Source organism: Homo sapiens, chromosome 9 (genome assembly GCF_000001405.40).
Source record: "Homo sapiens chromosome 9, GRCh38.p14 Primary Assembly".
Classification (NCBI taxonomy): Eukaryota; Metazoa; Chordata; class Mammalia; order Primates; family Hominidae; genus Homo; species Homo sapiens.
This window is the reverse complement of record NC_000009.12, coordinates 96,269,344-96,290,436: the sequence shown is the minus strand read 5'-3', so window position 1 is coordinate 96,290,436 and position 21,093 is coordinate 96,269,344. Positions and strand designations below refer to the sequence as shown.

The following is a 21,093-nucleotide window of genomic DNA, read 5'->3' as shown; positions in this document are numbered from 1 at the left end:
CCCTTCCTCAGGTTCCGAGGCCCCTAAATGAACCTCCTCTCACATCTGGAGTCTTCTTCTCTTTGTTTTATGTATTGTGTCCAGGTTTTTTTTGATGGACTTAATGGTGGGAATAGGGAAAGCACTTCTCCTCCGCCCTTCCAGAAGCTTATTCTTCACTGCATTTAACCGAATCTGCGTTTACATTTAGAGTGGCAGGAGAGGCTTTGCTTCCTGTTAAAAGAATTTCAAGCATTACTTGAGGCAGGTGGGAAAAAATTGTGGAGAGGGATGGGCCTGGGGTGGAGGGAGGAAGAGAGTGGGCCCACTCTTCCATACCTCTGAAGCCACTGCTCACCCTATTTTTCACACCGTTTCCACTCCTGTAGCACCTGAATTCAAGCCCTTTCTTTTATTCTTGGCCACACAGAGGAAGCCCTGTTTTTCCTGGCATTCCCACTACCCGCTGTAGATTAGCAGCTACAAGCACCTTCCTTGACCCAGGCCCCAACATACAGGAGAAGGAAAACAAGGCCCATTCATCCCACGGCAGCCGTTCTGCATCAGGATGGGGCCCCGGCAGTGAATTCTGGGAAAGGGAGGCTTTTGCAGCTTAACTTTCTGAAAAGGGGGTGGCAAAACCTGTGTATGGAGCCTGTCAGCCTGGACATTCTGGAAATAAGATTGAGTCCTGTTCAAGCAGACAAAGGGAACAATGCCAGCCCAGACAACCAAGTGTTCTCGGGCGCCCCCCTCTTGGCCCAGACCACTTCACATGGAACCTCTAAAAGGCCTGTGGCTCTTGAGAGAAACAAGCCCACCAGGCAAAGAGCATCCTTTGTGCTGAAAATGCAAATGGACTTTCATTTATTGGGCAATCTCCTCTTCAGGAGGCTGATGAAGTGAATTGGGAGACAAAGGTGCTTAATTCTTTAGCCATCCTGTTGATGGATTCCAAGACTCAAAAATGGAGGCTAGAGGTGGGGGTAGGGAATTTTCCATGGAGAGAACAAGAGAGAAGACTTGGGGATGTCATTGGCAGGGGTCAGTCTTGAAATAGGACTGTCCTTGGTTTAGTGTTCTTTTTAAAATGAAAAAACATTTTTAATGGACTTTATTTTTTAGAGCAATTATAGGTTCATAGAAAAATTGAGCAGATGGTATAGAGGTTTCCCATAGGCCTTCTGCCCCCACACACGCAGTCTCCCCCATTACCCACTTCCATACACACACACATACACACACACACACACACACACACACACCAGGAAATCAACTGTTTAAAGAAACAATTGATGCAGCATCTAGTGACTGCCTATCTTTTTTTTTTCTGTTTTTGTTTTTTTTTAGGGATAGGGTCTTGCTCTGTCATCCAGGCTGGAGTGCAGTGGTGGGATCACGGCTCATTGCATTCTTGACCTCCTGGGCTCAAGTGACCCTCTCACCTCAGCCTCCTGAGCAGCTGGGACTACAGGCTGTGCCACCATGCTCGGCTAATTTTTTAATTTTTTTTTTTTTTTTGAGACGGAGTCTTGCTCAGTCACCCAGGCTGGAGTGCAGTGGCGCAATTTCGGCTCATTGCGAGCTCCGCCTCCCGGGTTCACGCCATTCTCCTGCCTCAGCCTCCTCAGTAGCTGGGACTACAGGCGCCCACACCACGCCTGGCTAATTTTTTTTGTATTTTTAGTAGAGATGGGGTTTCAACATGTTAGCCAGGATGGTCTCGATGTCCTGACCTTGTGATCCTGCGGCCTGGGCCTCCCAAAGTGCTGGGATTACACGCATGAGCCACCGAGCCTGGCCTAATTTTTTAATTTTAATTTTTGTAGAGATGGTGGTGGTGGTGGGGGTGTCTTGCTGTGTTGCCTGGGTTGGTCTTGAACTCCTGGCCTCAAGTGATCCTCCTGCCTCGGCCTCCCAAGGCTCTAGGATTACAGAAATGAGCTATCTCACTTGGCCTAATTGCTTGTCTTTTTAATGGAGTGAAACCTCACTGTGGAGATTGCAGGTTGGGGGGAACTTGTGACAATACCTTTGTGGTGTTAACACCTTCAGCTCTCCAGAGTCATGGCTGAAAATCACCTGTGAGAGTGAATATAATTGACTTTTTAAAACTTCAGGATCGATGGTGTCATATACATGTGGGTCAGTTTTTTAATCTTGAACAGCTTTTTGAGATATAATTTATATACCATAAAATTCACCCAAGTGTACACTTCAGTAATTTTTAGGAAATTAACCGAGTTGTTTATCATCACCACCATCCGGTTTTGGAACATTTCCATCACTCGAGTAAGATCAGGTACACCTGGTTGCTATTAATCCTGCATTCCTATCCCTAGCCCTAGGCTGCCACTGATCTTTTCTAGACATTTCATATGAAGGTCACCATACAACATGCCGTTCTCCGTGACTGTTTTCTTCCACTTAGCATATTGTTTTGGAGGTTCATCCATATTGTAGCATGTGTCAATAGCTCTTTAATTTTTACTGCAGAATAATATTCCATTGTATGGATATACTCCATTTTGTTTATTCATTTTCCAGTTGACAACTGTTGGAGTTGTTTCCATTTTTTTTTTTTTTTTGGCTATTATGAATAATGCTGCTGTGAATATTGACACTTGAGTTTTTGTGTGGACACTTTTCTCTTTCCTTTGGGTAGATTACCTAGCAGTGGAGTCTCTGGGTTGCAAGGTAAAGTTGTCTTTTTAAAAAATTTTATTTATTTATTTATTTATTTATTTAGAGACGGAGTCTCGCTCTCTTGCCCAGGCTGGAGTGCAGTGGTGTGATCTCAGCTCACTGCAACCTCTGCCTCCCGGGTTCAAGTGATTCTCCTGCCTCAGCCTCCCTGGTAGCTGGGACTACAGGCGTGTGCCACCATGCCTGGCTAATTTTTTGTATTTTTAGTAGAGATGGGGTTTCACTGTGTTAGCCAGGATGGTCTTGATCTCCTGACCTCGTGATCCGCCTGCCTCGGCCTCCCAAAGTGCTGGCATTACAGGCGTGAGCCACCACGCCCGGCCAGTAAAGTTATCATTAAGGTCGGCTGGCGACAGTCACATTTCTGCAGCAGTTGGGTAGCAGCTGGAGCACCCTTGTCTGCTCCACCCAGTGGCTGTGTGTGTTGGTGTGTTCGGTCTCACCTGCCTGCCCCTGTGGGTCCAGTCTCTGCCTGGGAGGCTGACCTGCACCACTGGGCTCCCTTGGCCTCTGGTTTCAGCTGGGTTGGCCAGTGGGGAACACTGGCAACAGGTAAGAGGGAGAGTAAAGCGGGAGACTGTGCTGTCTCCCTGGTTGTGGAGGGCAGCTTGTGTCTTCTGCTGAAGGTCACCACCCCTGTTGGGTGGACGTCTCTACACAGTTCTTTCTCCAACACTTTCAGGCCCCTGGTTGTTACAGGAAAGGGGTCCTGATCCAGACCCCAAGAGAGTGTTCTCGGACCTCATCAAAGAAAGAATTCAGGGCAAGTCCATAAAGTGAAAGCAAGATTATTACGAAAGTAAAGGAATAAAAGAAGGGCTACTCCATAGACAGAGCAGCCCTGAGGGCTGCTGGTTGCCCACTTTTATGGTTATTTCTTGATGATATGCTAAACAAGGGGTGGATTATTCATGCCTCCCTTTTTTAGACCATATAAGGTAACTTTCTGATTTTGCCATAGCATCTGTAAACTGATATGGTGCTGGTGGGGGTGTAGCAGTGAGGATGACCAGAGGTCACTGTCATCCTGCCATCTTGGTTTTTTTTTTGTTTTTTTTTTTTGAGACAGGGTCTCCCTCTGTGGCCCAGGCTGGAGTGCAGTGGCACAGTCTTGGCTCACTGCAGCCTCTGCCTCCTGGGTTCAAGCAATTTTCCTGCCTCAGCCTCCTGAGTAGCTGGGATTACAGGCATGTGCCACCATGCATGGCTAAATTTTTGTATTTTTAGTAGAGATGGGGTTTCACCATATTGGCCGGGTTGGTATTGAACTCCTAACCTCAAGTGATCCACCTGTCTTGGCCTCCCAATGTGCTAGGATCACAGGCGTGGGCCACTATGCCCAGCCAGTTATGGTGGGTGGGTGGGTGTTAGCTGGCTTCTTCACTGCAACCTGTTTTTTTTTTCCTTTGAGACAGAGTCTCACTCTGTCACCTAGGCTAGAGCGCAGTGGTGTGATCTTGGCTCACTGCAACCTCCGCCTCCCGGGTTAAAGTGATTCTCCTGCCTCAACCTCCTGAGTAGCTGGAATTACAGGCACCCACTAGCACACCTGGCTAATTTTTGTAGTTTTAGTAGAGATGGAGTTTTGTCATGTTGGCCAGGCTGGTCTTGAACTCCTGACCTCAGGTGATCTGCCCGCCTTGGCCTCCCAAAGTGCTGGGATTACAGGCATGAGCCACTGCACCTGGCCCTAACCTGTTTTATCAGCAAGGTCTTTATGACCTGTATCTTGGGTTGACCTCCTATCTCACCTTGTGACTTAGAATGCCTTAACCACCTGGGAATGCAGCCAAGTAAGTCTCAGCCTCATTTTACTCAGCTCCTACTTAAGATGGAGTAGCTCTGGTTCAAACGCCTCTGACATTTTTCCCCTCCCTTTCATAAGAGAACCCTTAATCCTAAAGGTTGCAGAGGGATGAAAATCCATCTTCTGTAACTTCTTCAGGCTGAATAGGGGCAATGATATTCCTGCTTAACTATTAGGGTCTCTTGTATTCAGAGTAGAGAGGAGCTCAGTGAGAAGGCATCAATATTGTGAGGGTCATTCATAACTCCAAGTTCCAACAAAAGGTGGTATCTGGAAGATTAGTAAGTGTCCAATTTAAGAAAACGGTGAGCAAACTTGTCTGCATTCCTACACAAAGAGTACAACTGCAATATGTTCCACAACAGCAAAGCAAAATAAGTAAAATTATCCCAAGTAAACTAAATTAGAAGGCTTTCCATGAAGTGAGAAACTGTTGGAACCAAGCTGATACGGGGTTGCTAGCTGATTCCAATGTTCCCAGAATTAGAGGACTGATTCAGATTTTTATATTACCCATTCCTCTTATTTCTTCTGAACAGCAGTCAGAGATCACTGGTTGGTTCACTGGAATAAACAGGGTTAGTCTAAATTGCAGAAACAAACTTAAAAACAGCTGATGAGACTAGAATTTGATACACGTGTACCATAGTTCTTGAAACATAATATTTCTCTCTCCGTTTTCCCATTTTTAGTAAAGACAAATCATGGTAAGACTGATTTGCTTCATTATACTTGGCCTGATTATTTGTATAAAGTACAGCAAGAATAATTATTTTTCACATTAGCTTTTTTTAAAAATTGGCTTCAGCTGGGTGCAGTGGCTCACGCCTGTAATCCCAACACTTAGGGAGGCTGAGGCAGGCAGATCACTTGAGATGAGGAGCTCAAGACCAGCCTGGCCAACATGGTGAAACCCCGTCTCTACTAAAAATACAAAAATTAGCCAGGCATGGTAGTGGGTGCCTGCAATCCCAGCTACTCGGGAGGCTGAGGCAGGAAAATTGCTTGAACTGAGGAGGTAGAGGTTGCAGTGAGCTGGGATCACGCCACTGCACTCCAGCCTGGTCGACAGAGCAAGACTCCGTTTCAAAAAAAAAAAAAAATTGGCTTTGATGAAACTCTGTTCCATAGAAGGAATCTCGATAAGACTTTTTAGAGCTGAACCCTGTCATGGGTTTGTACCCTCAAATACCTATGAGTTGAGTAAATTCCTCCCCTCTTGGGGGTCCCAAGATAACTTGGGGCTTCTGGACCTGTTAGAAAGTGATATTCTTTACTTACTATGGGTCAGAAACCTTGTACTGGCACTGCGTAGGCAAGGTATGAGGCCAGTTTCTCAATGGACTCTTACTGGCTTTACAAGTCAAGTATGATTCCTTAAAGGAAAGCACACCATTCCAGTTAAAGCCTTGGTAAAATAACCAGTTTCTCTAATTGTGTCAATTTGCAAAAGAAAACAGATTCTTTTTGCACTTATGCAAATAGCTATACTGTCATTAAATTAAGAATACTCGCAACTAGTTTTCAAATTCTGGAGAAATCAGGTAGAGAGAAACAAATGTGCTCCAAATTTTGTTCACAGTAGTATACTTTACTCAATTGTTAAAAGCTTTAAATAGCTCAAAAGAAAAGTTTTCTTGACTCTGAAAAACAAAACAAAACAGTAACATTTTAAGCAAAAAGTTTAAAAAGATTACTTTAGTCTTTTTTTTTTTTTTTTTTTTTTTTTAAGATGGAGTCTCACTTTGTCACCCAGGCTGGAGTGCAGTGGCATGATCTCAGCTCACTGCAACCTCCCAGGTTCAAGCAATTCTCCTGCCTCAGCCTCCTGAGTAGCTGGGACTACAGGCACCTGCCACCATGCTCAGCTAATTTTTTTTTGTATTTTTAGTAGAGATGGGGTTTCACCATATTGGCCAGGCTGGTCTGGAATTTCTTGTGATTCACCTGCCTTGGACTCCTAAAGTGCTGGGATTAACAGGCAGGAGCCACTGCACCAGCCACTTTAGACTTTTACTGGTTCAGTCAATTCAGGTTAACTGCTGTTCTGCTTGATATTCATGAACATTTCAGCTCTTCACGAGAGTCCTGAAAGTTTTTTCCTCTATTCTAATGTCACAATTTCCAAAGTTATCAGAAACCTGCATTTAAGAGCACTTGTTAGAGCTCTATAACTAGTTATAAACCATCTTCCAAAGAGGACCAAAACAAGACAACAATTTTTTTTGTGGATGACAAAAAGTTTTAGGACAGCCACAGTAAAAAACATGATTGACAAAGGAAATTTGGTTACCTTTGTGGCATACAATGATTTTATGTAACAATTATAATTATTAATTAACATACAGTAAGTCATATCAGAATTATAGGAATTTCCCATTATTTTGGAACACAGAAAGCCACACACTATTTTATATTTGACAGTGCTCCCTGTATGATTTTTATACCAAATAAGCCAAATGTCACTTTTGCATTAGTGCATTATTGATGTCAGACTCAATTCTTAATAAAACCTTATAGACAAATATATTTAATCTTCATCAGTTTGACCATAAGGTAAGATTTTCATAAACCTTATATAAACCTTTACAATTTTTGTTAAAGAGCAGATTATAAGCAGGTTTTTGCTTTAAGAGAAATGGCTGGGCGCAGTGGCTCATGCCTGTAGTCCCAGCACTTTGGGAGATTGAGGCAGGTGGATCACCTGAGGTCAGGAGTTTGAGACCAGCCTGACCAACATGGAGAAACCCCATCTCTACTAAAAGTACAAAGTTAGCTGGGTATGGTGGTGGATGCCTGTAATCCCAGCTACTCAGGAGGCTGGGGCAGGAGGATCGCTTGAACCCAGGAGGCAGAGGTTGCAGTGAGCTGAAATTGCACCACTGCACTCTAGCCTGGGCAAAAAGAGTGAAACTCCATCTCTAAAAAAAAAAAAAAAAAAAAAAAAAAAAAGAAAGAAACCTGTTGTGCTTTTATTCCAATGTTGAGTTTACAGAAAAACTGAATAAAATACTTCTCTTATTTTAGCCAATATGTTTACACACAGAATTTCTTTTACAATATTAATTTTTTTCACAAACCTTCCAAAATTTCCTTAAACTTTTAACCTTTTAATCCAGGCAGAAAAATCCACATTCCCATGACTTCTTATTATCTTTTACCAAAAACACATTCTGCTTTCCTTACATGCCTTACAGGTAGAACTGTTTCTTCAGTAGTCTTAATTACACGTTACAATGTTAACCCTTAGCAACTTTTACTTCTGGTGAAAAACCTGGTTAGGAAGCAATTTTAATCATGTGCCAAGTGTGGAGCCTAGCTCAGGACACACCAGGCAGAAGTGCAGATGAGGGCTGACTCCAGCATAGCTAGGGGGTGTGGCTAACTCCACATGTCCCTGGCCTTATCTAGAACTAATGCGCCAAAGTAGGTAAATTGAACAATTTTCAAAAGTCAAAGAAGCAGTTTATGACCTTAAAGCATTAAGTAAACTTAATATTTGACCTATTTAACTTTAGACCAAATGTCTTTATTTTACCAATATTTTTAAAACTATCTTTATTTCTCAAAGATTACTTAAGTCACATGAACTAAAAGACATTACACTTTTTACTTTTCTCATAAAATATTTGATTTAAGCGCTTATTATTTTTAAACCAATTAATCAAAGCTCTTTTATATCACATATGCAACATATATAAATACACAGACAGAGAATAAAGGACTCATCCCTAAGACACGAATCAAACCTTGAACCCAGGCCACCATTCTGAAAAGAGAAAGCACGGCCATATGGTTACAAGGTCAAGCTCCCAAGGACATAACTGACCAGTTTGCTGGGCCATCTTGAAAAGCGGGCTTACAGGTGTCCTATGCCCATGTTCTATCCTAAGTTACCCCTCTTTGTGGCAGAACAATATAGAAAGACACACAAAGCACACCAAATTTGCTGCAGCTTACGACTAGCCTCACAAATCCTTTTTCCCATTAATCAAAACTTTACAGAGGAGACAAGCAGTGATTTTTACCATTTAACCAGTTTGCAGAGAGACAGAGGGAGACAGAAAGGAAAGCATTGCCTGAGGCAGGGTGGGGGAGGCGAGACGCTCACAGAGCCCAGAGAAAAAACCACCCATTGCAGCAACGCTGAAAAGTTCAGGTGGCTGCTTGTCAGTAGTGAAGGGATCTTTTCCTGCAGTCTCATCAGCTCTTAAGTTCCCCCTTTTAGGGAGGAAAAAGTTCCCCGTGTACCACAATGCTGTACATGCCTAATCCTGTCACCCACAGCCATTAGCAAAGAGCGAAAGGCAGATTATTCCAAAGAGAAAAGCAGTTAACATCCCGTAGGGCCAAACCCATTCTTAGCCAAGAGGGACTTTACGAGAGGGACTTTTCTGAGAGGGGACTTTAACCCCCTAAATATTAGAAGGGACTCTAACCCTCCTAAGTTAGGACTCTAACCCAAGGCTAGTCAAGTGCCCTTGCCTTTTATTAAGAAGGGCCTCTAACCTGCTCTGTCTTAGGAGAGGCTCTAACTCCCCTAAGTTGGGCCTCTAACCCAGCCCCATCCTTTACCCGGGTAAATGCGCCCCACTTACCCAAAGCCATCCAATCAGTGCTGTAGTCTATTTTTTTTGGGTCGGGGGCTTCTTTAGTATTGGGGCTTCTTTAGTATTGTGCCTTCAGGGTTAGTGAGAAAGATGTTACCAGACCCCACCACTTACCCAAAGTTAGGCTTTGGGAAGGGGGTTTTCACACTATAATCCCTTTGTGGTCACCAGAAAGATGTTACAGGAAAGGGGTCCTGATCCAGACCCCAAGAGAAGGTTCTTGGGTCTTGAGCAGGAAAGAATTCAGGGTGAGTCCATAAAGTGAAAGCAAGATTATTAGGAAAGTAAAGGAATAAAAAATGGCTACTCCATGGACAGAGCAGCCCTCGGGTTGCCCATTTTTATGGTTATTTCTTGATGATATGCTAAACAAGGGGCGGATTATTCATGCCTCCCCTTTTAGACCATATAGGATAACTTCCTGACATTGCCCTGGCATTTGTAAACTGTCACGGCGCTGGTGGGAGTGTAGCAATGAGGATGACCAGAGGTCACTCTCCTCGCCATATTGGTTTTGGTGGGTTTTAGCTGGCTTTTTTACTGCAAGCTGTTTTATCAGCAAGGTCTTTATGACCTGTATTTTGTGTTGACCTCTTACCTCACCCTGTGACATAGAATGCCTCAACTATCTGGGAATGCAGCCCAGTAGGTCTCAGCCTCATTTCACCCAGCTCCTATTTAAGATGGAGTTGCTGTGGCTCAAATACCTCTGACATGGTAACAGCAGCTCAGTGTTGCCAGCCCCACCCTATTGCACTGTCCCTTGTGGTTTCTTCATATTAAACTCTCTCCAAATTACTCAGTTTGAGTGTGCTATTTCTGCCAGAACCCTGGATAAATTGAGTTTTTAGTTATTTTTAAAAATGACAAATCAGAGTTCATCAACATCTATGCCTCAGCTAACTTGACCTTCATTAGAAGGCTTGCTAGCCTAACAGATGTTATAAGTAATTTTCCTGAGGAAATTATTTATACTGTGGAATAGTCGTTCAAAATAAGTGGATTGGTGAAAAAATGTTGTACAGGCACTTCTACCCTTGAATGAACAAAAGTATGTGAACCAAAAATACAATTCTAAGTCTCCCAACCAATCGAATGGACCCCTTCTCTTGGCCAAGGGCATTCCTAAGTTAACCTGAAAAACCAGTTCAGGCCATGATGGAGATGGGTGGTTGAACATGCCTCATTACGGCCTCCTCCCTTTGGAATTCAGGCACAGCTGAGCACCGCTGATATCAACACAGAGACCTTAAGAGTGACAAAGCAGGCCGGGCACAGTGGCTCACGCCTGTAGTCCCAGCACTTTGGGAGGCCCAGGCGGGCAGATCACCAGGTTAGGAGATCGAGACCATCCTGGCTAACACAGTGAAACCCCGCCTCTACTGAAAATGCAAAAAATTAGCCAGGGGTGGTGGCGGGCGCTTATAGTCCCAGCTACTTGGGAGGCTGAGGCAGGAGAATGGCGTGAACCTGGGAGGCGGAGCTTGCCGTGAGCCGAGATCGCGCCACTGCACTCCAGCCTGGGTGACAGAGCGAGACTCCATCTAAAAAAAAAAAAGAGTGACAAAGCAGACTCTTTGTAGCAATAAGATACCAACATCACAGACAGCAGGCCCTAAAAGAAATCAAAGTATTTTACCCCCAAATGTATTTCTTTGACACATTTTGAAATGGCCCTGCAAAGCTCTCTGTTGTGGGGAAAATCTATGGTCTGTAGAGAATCCCCTTCCCTTTCCAGGTCATTTTCCTGATTCAGGAGAGAATTAACTGGGAGTCTGATAAGAAACATTTACAATCTATTCTCTCTAAAGCCTGCTACCTGGAGGCTTCATCTGCATAATAAACACCTTGGTCTCCACAATCTCTTATCTTACCCAGACACTCCCTTCTCTTGATTCCAGGTGTTTAGATAAACTTTTTCAACCAATTACCAATCAGGAAATCTTTGAATCCACCTATGACCTGTAAGTCCCCCCACACCCACCCCTTTGAGTTGTTTTGCCTTTCTGGACAGAAGCAACGTACATCTTACATGTATTGATGGATATCTTATGTCTCTCTAAAACATGTAAGACCAAGTTGTAGCCCAACCACCTTGGGTATATGTTCGCAGGACCTCCTGAGGCTGTGCCACTGGAATGTCCTTAACCTTGGAAAAATAAACTTCAGCATGGATTGAGACCTGTCTCAGACACTTTTTGATTTACAGGTGTAATATCTGTGGGTATAGCAGAGTAGCATTCATGGCCTTGAACTGTGATTTGGTCCCACATCCTGCCACGTAGTGGAGGATTCTGCCATGTGATTTAGCTAGAAGGTTGACTGTATCCACCCCTTAGAATATTTTATCTACCGGGGATGAGCCCTCATGCAAGACATTTAGTAGACTGCCTAAGGGTCAGAGAGCTGGGGCTCCACTGAGCTTTCAAGAACAGGTTCCTGACTCTTTGATCCAGCTTGATGTTTTAGGTGTGGTAGAGTTCAGTCTGAAGCTTGCTTGCCTTGTAAGGCACCATCTGCTGGCTGGGTTTTGTGGGAGGGTACCTACAGTCCTCATTTATTTCTAATTACTGGAGGTTATAAGAAAAACCCAATACTTAACAGCAGCCAAATAGGCTTACATCAAATAAAGACATCAAATTCATGGCCTACCATCAAATTCATGGTTCCCATCATTTCTGCCTAGTTGTAGACAGAGTTCCCTTAGGGAGTGTGTGTAATTGCTGTGGCCTTAGACAATCACTCAGCCCAGCTGGACACAAGCAGGGTGGCCCCACTCAAGCCCCACGCAGCACCCACCCTCTCCACACACATCCCCACACCCATTTCAAGAGCACTGCCATCTAATTTTTGTGTATTTATTTTGTTCTCCTTTAACTTAAAAAATATTGAATATTTCCTTGCACCTTTACTGATGAATAATTGACAAATAAAAATTGTATATATTTAAGTGTATGACTTCTTAATATATTGAAATATGTATACATTGTGAAATAATCACCATAATCAAGTTAACGAACGTATCTATTATTTCATATCATTACCATGATCTTTTCTTGTTCTTTTTTGGGAGGGGTGAGAAAACGAGATTTACAGTTCTTAGCAAATTTCAAGCATATAATACAGCCTTGTTAATTATGTTCTATGTTAACTATGTCCTTGTTAACTATGTCTATTAGTTCTCTAGATCTCATTCATCCTGCATAACTGAAACTTTGTGTCCCTTGACCAACATCTCACCATTTACCCCTCCCCCAGCCTCTAGCAGCAACATTCTACTCTGTAGTTCCATGAGCTTGACTGTTTTAGATTCCACATATAAGTGAGATCATGCAGTATTTGTCTTTGTGTCTGACTTATTTCACTTAGCATAATCTCCTCATTTATCCATGTCCAACATTTATCCATGTTGTCATAAATGTCAGGATTTCCTTCTCTTTTTAAAGGCTAAATGATATTCCATTGTGTGTGTGTGTGTGTGTGTGTGTGTGTGTGTGTGCCACATTTTCCTTATTCATCTGTTAATGGATATTGGGGTTACTTCCATATCTTGGCTATTGTGAATAGTACTGTAATGAACAAGGGAGTGCAAATACCTTGAAGACATACTGATTTCATTTCCTTTGGATATATAGCCAGAAGCTGGATCATAAAGTAGTTATTATTTGAAGGAACTTCCATACAGTTTTCCCTAATGGCTGTACCAATTTACATTCCCACCAACAGTATACAAGAGTTCCCTTTTCTCTGCATCCTCGCCAATACTTATCTTTTGTCTTTTTTATAGTAGCTATTCTAACAGGTGTGAAGTGATAGCTCATTGTGGTTTTCATCTGCATTTCCTTGATAATTAGCGATATTGAACATCTTTTCATATGCCTATTGACCATTTGTATGTTTTCTTTTGAAAAATGTCTATTTACATCCTTCTTCCTTTTTTAAAATCACGTTATTTGTTTTGTTTTGCTATTAAGTTTTATTAGCTCTTTATATAGTTTGAATATCAATCCTTTATCAGACATGTAGTTGGCAAATACTTTATTCCATTTTGTAGGTTACCTTTTCACTCTGTTGATTGTTTCCTTTGCTGCACAGATGCTTTTTAGTTTGATGCATTTTCTTTCTTTTTTTTTTGAGCTGGAGTCTTGCTCTGTCGCCCAGGCTGGAGTGCAGTGGTGTGATCTCGGCTCACTGCAAGCTCTGCCTCCCAGGTTCACACCATTCTTCTGCCTCAGCCTCCTGCGTAGCTGGGACTACAGGCGCCTGCCACCACGCCCAGCTAATTTTTTGTCTTTTTAGTAGAGACAGGGTTTCACTGTGTTAGCCAGGATGGTCTCGATCTCCTGACCTTGTGACTCACCCACCTCAGCCTCCCAAAGTGTTGGGATTACAGGTGTGAGCCACCGCACCTGGCCAGTTTGATGCAATTTCAATTGTCTATTTTTATTTTGTTGCTTGTGCTTTCAGTGTCATATCTAAAAAATAATTGCCCTGACCAACATCAGGAAGATTCTCCCCTATGTCTTCCTCTAATAATCTTATGGCTTTAGAGGTTGCATTTAAGTCTTTAATCCCTTTGGGGTGGATTTGTGTATACGGTGTGAGATAAGTTCCACTTTCATTTTTCTGCATGCGGATATCTAGTTTTCCCAACACCATTTGTTGAAGAGACTATCTTTTCCTAATTGTGTGCTCTTGCCACCTTTGTTAAAAATCAGTTGACTGTAGATGTGTGAATTTATATCCAGGCTCTCTATTCTGTTCCATTGGTTTATATGTCTTTTTTAATGTTAGTAAAGCATTCTATTTTGATTACTGTAGCTTTATAATATATTTTGAAGTCAAGAAGTGTGATGCTTCCCACTTTGTTCTTCTTGCTCAAGATTGTTTTGGCTATTTGTGATCTTTTGTGGTTCCATATGAATTTTTGGATTTTCTTTATTTCTATAAAAAATGCCATTGAGATTTTTGATAGGGATTGCATTGAATCTGTAGGTTATTTTCAATAGTATGCACATTTAAACAGTATTAATTCTTCTATCTTCTAATCCATGAACACAGACATCTTTCCATTTTTGTGTCTTCTTTCATTTCCTTCATTAATGTTTTATAAATTTTAGCGTACAAGTCTTTTACCAGTTCATTCCTAAGTATTTTCTTCTTTTTGTTGCTATTGTGAATCGAATTGTCTTCTTTCTTCTGTTTTTTTTTTTTTTTTTTTTTTTTTATGAGACAGGATCTCACTCTGTCACCCAGGTTGGAGTGCAGTGGTGTGATCATGACTCACTGCAGCCTTGACTTCCCCATGCTCCATGCCCAGCTTATGTGAATCTCTTGCAGACACCGTACCACTGGATCTTGTTTTTTAAGTCCATTCAACCACTCTATGCCTTTTGACTGGGGAGTTTAATTCATTTACATTTAATATAATTATTGATAGGTGAGGACTTACTATTGTCATTTTGTAAATGGTTTTCTGTCTGTTTTGTGGTTGTTTTGTCCCTCTTCCTCTTTTGCTGTTTTCCTTTATTTCATGATTTTTTGCATTGATTTGCTTTCATTATTTTCTCTTTATCTTTTTTGTATCGATTATTGCTTTTTCTTCATTGTGATTAGCTTGAGGCTTACATAAAATATCTTATAATTGTCTACTTTAAGTTGATAACAATTTAATTACATACAAAAACTCCACACTTTTGTTCTCCCCTCTTTGTGTTTTTGTAGAAAGAGTTTGCTTTTTTTTTTCTTTTTTTCTGAGATAGGGTCTCACTCTGTCACCCAGGCTGCAGTGCAGTGGCATGATCTTGGCTCACTGCAACCTCCACTTCCCAGGCTAAAGTGATCCCCCCATCTCAACCTCCCAAGTAGCTGAGACCACAGGTGTGTGCCATCATGCCTGTAAAGTTTGCTTTTTATACCGGGTATCTGTTAACAAATTTTTATCTTTTAACTTTTATATTAGGGCAAAAAGTGATTTGTGCACCATCATTACAACTATTATATTATTTTATATTTATCCAAATATTTTCCCTTACCTGTGAGATTAATGCTTTCATATGATTTGTGTTGTTGTTTAGTGTGTTTTCATTTCAATTTGAGGACCTGCCTTAAGCATTTCTTAAGGCAAATCTAGTGGTGATGAACTTCCTCAGTTTTTGTCTGGGAAACACGTTATCTTTCCTCTATTTAAAGAGGATAATTGTGCTGGGTATAGTATTCTTGGTCGACAGCTTTTTTTTTTCCTTTCAGTATTTTGAATATATTATCCCACTCTCTTTTTGCCTGCAAGGTTTCTGCTGAGAAATCTGCTAGTAGGGGGTTCCAACTTTTCTCTTGCTGCTTTCAAAATGCTCTCTTTGTCCTTAAATTTTGACAATTTAATTATCAGGTGTCTCAGAGTATTCTTAATTTGTGTGATCCTATTTGAGGTGATTTGGGAGTCATGAACCTGGATGTCCATTTTCCTCTCAAGATTTGGGAATTTTTCAGACCTTATTTTTCACATAAGCCTGTTGCCCTTTTCTTTCTCTGTTCTCTTTGGAATACCATAATATATATACTGGGTTGCTTGTTTATGTCCCATAAATCTTATAGGCTTTCTTCAATCTTTTTAATTCTTTTTTCTTCTTTGTCTCTGACTGGATAATTTCAAATGTCCTTTCTTCAAGTTCACAGATTCTTTTTTCTGCTAGATTGAGTCTGCTGTTAAGGCTTTCTATTGCATTTTTCATTTTATTCATCAAATTCTTCAGCTGCATAATTTCTGTTTGGTTGTTTTTATAATTTCTACCTCTTTATTGTTCTCATTTTATTCATGTATTTCCCCCCTCATTTTGTTGAGTTGTCTATCTGTGTTCTTTTATTTATTTATTTTGAGATGGAGTCTCACTCAGCCGCCCAGGCTGTAGTGCAGTGGTGCAATCTCGGCTCACTGCAGCCTCTGCCTCCCGGATTCAAGTGATTCTCCTGCCTCAGCCTCCTGAGCCAGCTGGGATTACCTCCTGAGTAGCTGGGATTACAGGTGTGCACCACCATGCCCAGCTAATTTTTGTATTTTTAGTAGAGATGGGGTTTCACCATGTTGGCCAAGTTGGTCTCGAACTCCTGACTTCAGGTGATCCACCCACCATGGCCTCCCAAAGTGCTGGGATTACAGGCATTAGCCACCATGCCCAGCCTATTTGTCTTCTTTTGTAGTTTGCTGATCTTCTTTAAAACAATTATTTTGACTTCTTTGTTAGACAGTTTTAGATCTCTATTTCCTTGGGGCCACTTACTGGAAATTTATTATGTTCCTTTAGTTGTGTCATGTTTCCTTGATTTTTCATGTTCCTTGGAGTCTTGCATTAATGTCTGTGCATTTGAAGAAGAAATCACCTCTTCCAGTCTTTATTAACTGGCTTTGGTGGGGAAACACCCTCACCTATGGTTGAGTGTGAGGGAGGTGGCTGGATTCTGTGTGGTGGCTTTGGCTCTAGGAGAATGCACCGATAACTCTGGCCCTGGGGGTGGGGTGCGTGTGCAATGCTGTGGACTCCAAGCAGTCAGCTTGGGTTAGTGTTGGCAAAGATTGTGGGGTCTTGGTAGTGAAGGCGGATGCAGATCTTCCTGTTCTCCTTTTTCCCTCATGGGGGAAGTTATGACCAAGGGGATCCCTCCTGGTGTCAGAGTTGAGGGTACAGTGCAGGCATGGTGGTGCCAAGGCTGGAGTGGTGGCTTCTTCTTCAGAGTAGGTGCAGTGGTGTGGACTCCACGCAGGCCCATTGGCTTGGATCGGCATCTGTGAAAACTGTTGAAGTCCTCAAGGGTAAAAGAGGCAGATGTCTGTGGTGGCTGAGGCTGCTGGAGTCATCCTGCTCTCCTTTTCTCCCATGAGGGACAGTCACAGCCAAGGGGATCCTTTTGGAGCCAAGGTGTGCCAGACTGGGAGATGGGGTGACACAGATACAATTGCTTTCCATGCATTTCTATGTGTTCATCCTCAGTTTTTGTGCTCCACTGAATTGCTGAAACTTCTTTGTAATCAGGACTTCTCCCAGAGCTATTTTATTGGTGGATAAATGTTAAATTATGGGGGTGTGTGGACTAAGATCTCATAGTACTATAGAGAGATAATATGTATTCTTTACCCAATTTCTCCTAATGGTAACATCTTGCAAAGCTATAGTACAATATTACAATCAGGTTCTGGGCATTGATATAGTCAAGATACAGAACAATTCCATCACTACAAGGATTCCTGGGCTGCCATTTTATAGCCACACCCACTTTCCTCCCAGTCCCTTCTGGGAACCACTAATCTGTTCTCTATTGCTATAATTTTGTCACTTCAAGAATGTTATCTAAGTGGGATCATATACTATGTAAAACTTTTTGGATTGCCTTTTTCCCCCACCTAGCATAATTTTCTGGAGATTCACCAACGTCATTATATCAGTAGTTTTTTCCTTCTTAGTGCCGAGTAGAATTCCATGGTATGGATGAACCACAGTTTATCTAACCATTAATCTACTGAAGGACATCCCGGCTATTTCCAGTTTTTGGCTATACAAATAAAGCTGCTGTTAACTTTCATATATAGCTTTTTATGTAAACATAAGTCTTTATTTTTCTGGGACAAATGCTCAGAATTGCAATTGTTGGGCTGTATGGAAGTTGCATGTTTAGTTTCTTAGGAAACTGCAAACTCTTTTCCACAGTTGCTGTATTCCCCTAGCAGTGTATGAATGATCCATTTTCCCCACATCCTCATCAGAATCTGGTGTTGTCATTAGTTTTTACTTTAGCCATTATGATGGTTGTGTAGTGATATCTCATTGTGGTTTTAATTTGTATTTCCCTGATGGCTAATAATGTGTGTGTATATATATTATATTCATATATATTTTATATATATATATATATATATATATATATATATATATATATAGAGAGAGAGAGAGAGAGAGAGAGAGAGAGAGATGCAGTCTTACTCTTGTTGCCCAGGCTGGAGTGCAGTGGCATGATCTCGGCTTACTGCAACCTATGTCTCCCAGGTTCAAGTGATTCTCCTGCCTCAGGCTCTTGAGTACTTGAGTAGCTGGGACTACAGGTCCGTACCACCACACCTGGCTCATTTTTGTGTTTTCAGTAGAGATGGGGTTTCACCATGTTGGCCAGGCTGGTTTCAAACTCCTGACCTCAGGTGATCCACCTGCCTTAGACTCCCAAAGTGCTGGGAATACAGGTGTGAGCCACCGTGCCTGACCTATATATGTATTTTTAACTCAAAGAGAGGAATAGAAGAAAATGACTAAGGCCACCATCTCTTTGCCTAAATAACTCCTGTTAAAAATAAAAGTAATGGGGGTATAAAATTAGAAAATTCAAGCAGTACAGCAAGGTACAAAAAGAGAAATAAAGGCCTCTTCCTAACCCTGCTTTTACCTTACCCCTCTCTGTAAAGGTAACCAGTGCTAAAATGTCTTGGGATTCCTTTCAGAAAGGTAAGGAAAAACCATTCCTTTCAGAAAAAGTAAGAAAAAAATTCTACAGTTACATGTTGCTATAGATGTTGATAGTATGATGAAGATTAGCAACTGTAACAACAACAACAACAACAAAAAACCCAATAATGTCTAGAGACTTCACAAAAAATGAGAGCTTTCCCTATTGGCAAGTAGATCTGAGCAAGTTCCATCTATCGTGTGGGTTCTTGCTCTCTTCTTCATGGTTGAAGCTGGATCATAACACATATCTGCTTTGACTTGTGAGAAGGAAAGAAGGGGAAGAAATCATGGTACACCCAGAGCTTTCCAGTATGGGTCCACTGACCTTCCCTTGGACAGAGCTCAGTTCTGTGGCCAACCCAAGTGCAAGGAAGGCTGGGAAATGTCACTTAGTCATGTACCCAGGAAGAAGGAGAGAACAAGTTTTAGCCCCAGCAGCAGTTCTCTGTCAGAATTTATTATTAGAATTAAATTATCAGAATTAAAAATTGTTTAATTTTTGCCCACTGAGCACAAATGGGATCCTACCTCACACAACCATAAACCCTGTTCTAAACTTTGCTTTGTTTATTTAATAATATAGCATGGAGACCTGACCACAGCAAAGGCACACAGATGGGCTTGATTCTGTTTAATGGTTTCAGGATATCCCATCCCATGGATGTACCATGTCTCTTTTATCAGCCTTTAGGGATGAACACTAAGGTGAATTTTCATTTTTCTTTTTGCAAATAATTTTGTAAGTTGCCTCTTTGAGCATACATTTGAGCCCACATCCAGGGCTACATCCTTATCGGTAAGACTGCTGGCTCAATAGGTATGTGAATTTAAATATTGCATACCATTGCCAAATTGTTTCCTTTTTGATAATATCAATCTTAACCCCCCCCCCCGAGAGGATTTGAGAGATCTTCTCACTACACTTGTTTGTATGAAATATTATTAATTTTACTTTTTGTCACTCTGATATGTGTAAACATGTATTTTTGGCTGTTATTGCTCAGAGAATGCTAGAACCAAAATACAAGATGAAAGCTTAGCTGAGTTTTATTCTCCACATCTGGGCCATTCTAGTGCCATCTCCCAATACCTGGGAAGGCAACATCTGGGTGGCCTGCCCACCTCCAGTGTGACAGACAGGGCAGTCAGAATTCTTCTGAAGACAGTGTTCCCGATAACTTCAGGTAATGGCACACAGTTGGCCCTTGGATTAAAATCACTTGGCTAGCTCTGTCTCAGACCAACCCAAGAAAAATAACTGCCTTGCCCTATTTTTGAATAATAGCACATGCTTACTTTGCAATATATGGCAGTGTCTTTGGCCAGTAAGGAAATTCTTCTTCCTAATGTCTAAATTCCTCCATCTGCACTCTCAGCATATTTTCTTTCATCTGGCCTTAAATGAAAACAGCAGCTTTTAATTATTTTTATGTTCCTCTAGATTTGTTCCTTTGTTCTTGTGCTACTTGACTTCAACCCTGCAATTTCTAATCCAGGCTTTGAATATCCTAAGTACATTATAGCATGCCATGGCACTCTTTCTCTCTCTGTCTCTGTCTCTCTCTCTCTCTCTCTCTGTGTGTGTGTGTGTGTGTGTGTATGTGTTTGGGGGGGATAGATCAAATAAGAGTGTATGTAATGCATAGATATGGTTACAAAAAATGATAAAATCAGTCCTGTGTCATTTATCACTAGCTTAAGAAACAGAACATCACCAGTGTCCTTGAAGCTGCCTGTATGCCACATTTATGTTTACCTTCCCTCACCCCGACACATGTAAAACACTTATTTTAATAATCTCCTTGCTTTTTAACAAAGTGGTTCTATTGCATATGCAGGTATGCCTAAATAATATGTTGGTTTTATTGCTTGTTTTGCACTTAATGTAAATTGAGTCCTATGTATTCTATAATCTGCTTTTTTTTTTTTTTTTTTTTCTTTTTAAGATGGATTCTCACTCTGTCACCCAGGCTGGAGTGCAGTGGCACGATCTTGGCTCACGGCAACTTTTGCCTCCTGGGTTCAGGTGATTCTCCTGCCTCAGCTTCCCGAATAGCTGGGATTACAGGTACCTGCCATCATGCCTGGCTAATTTTTGTATTTTTACTAGAGACGGGGTTTCACTATGTTGGCCAGGTTGGTCTCGAACTCCTGACCTCAGGTGATCCACCTGCCTCGGCCTCCCAAAGTGCTGGGATTACAGGCATGAGCCATCACACCCGGCCTAATCTGCTTCTTTTATGTAAATCAACATCATGCTTCTGAAGTTCATCCATGCCGACATGGATGAATGAAATGAACCATGGAACATGGTTCATTTATCTTCAGTACATATAGTATTCTATTCTACTACAGCATTCCAATACATCCCAATTTAATTATCCTTTCCTCTGTCAACAAACATTTATGTTGTTACTATTTTTGCTGATAGAAACACTTCTGCCTCCTGCAGGATATGTCATGAGTAGAGAACACACCCAGGAACAGAATTACTGGGTCACAG

The 21,093-nt window shown here is 41.7% G+C and overlaps 1 protein-coding gene and 1 long non-coding RNA gene across 2 annotated transcripts in view, besides 1 other annotated feature; both read left to right on the top strand.

Annotated features, from left to right (window-relative positions):
* SLC35D2-HSD17B3 (SLC35D2-HSD17B3 readthrough) overlaps nucleotides 1-21,093 on the top strand; it is a 148,406-nt gene that overhangs the window by 93,275 nt on the left and 34,038 nt on the right. The window lies entirely within an intron of this gene.
* HSD17B3 (hydroxysteroid 17-beta dehydrogenase 3) overlaps nucleotides 1-21,093 on the top strand; it is a 66,871-nt gene that overhangs the window by 11,740 nt on the left and 34,038 nt on the right. The gene's annotated exons all lie outside the window — the stretch shown is intronic.
* Nucleotides 610-1,160: an enhancer, noted in NCBI's record as "OCT4-NANOG hESC enhancer chr9:99051559-99052109 (GRCh37/hg19 assembly coordinates)". NCBI's record gives its function as "activates a minimal SCP1, AML or CMV promoter by ChIP-STARR-seq in primed H9 embryonic stem cells {active_cell/tissue: H9 hESC(primed)}" and the evidence as "EXISTENCE:reporter gene assay evidence [ECO:0000049][PMID:30033119]".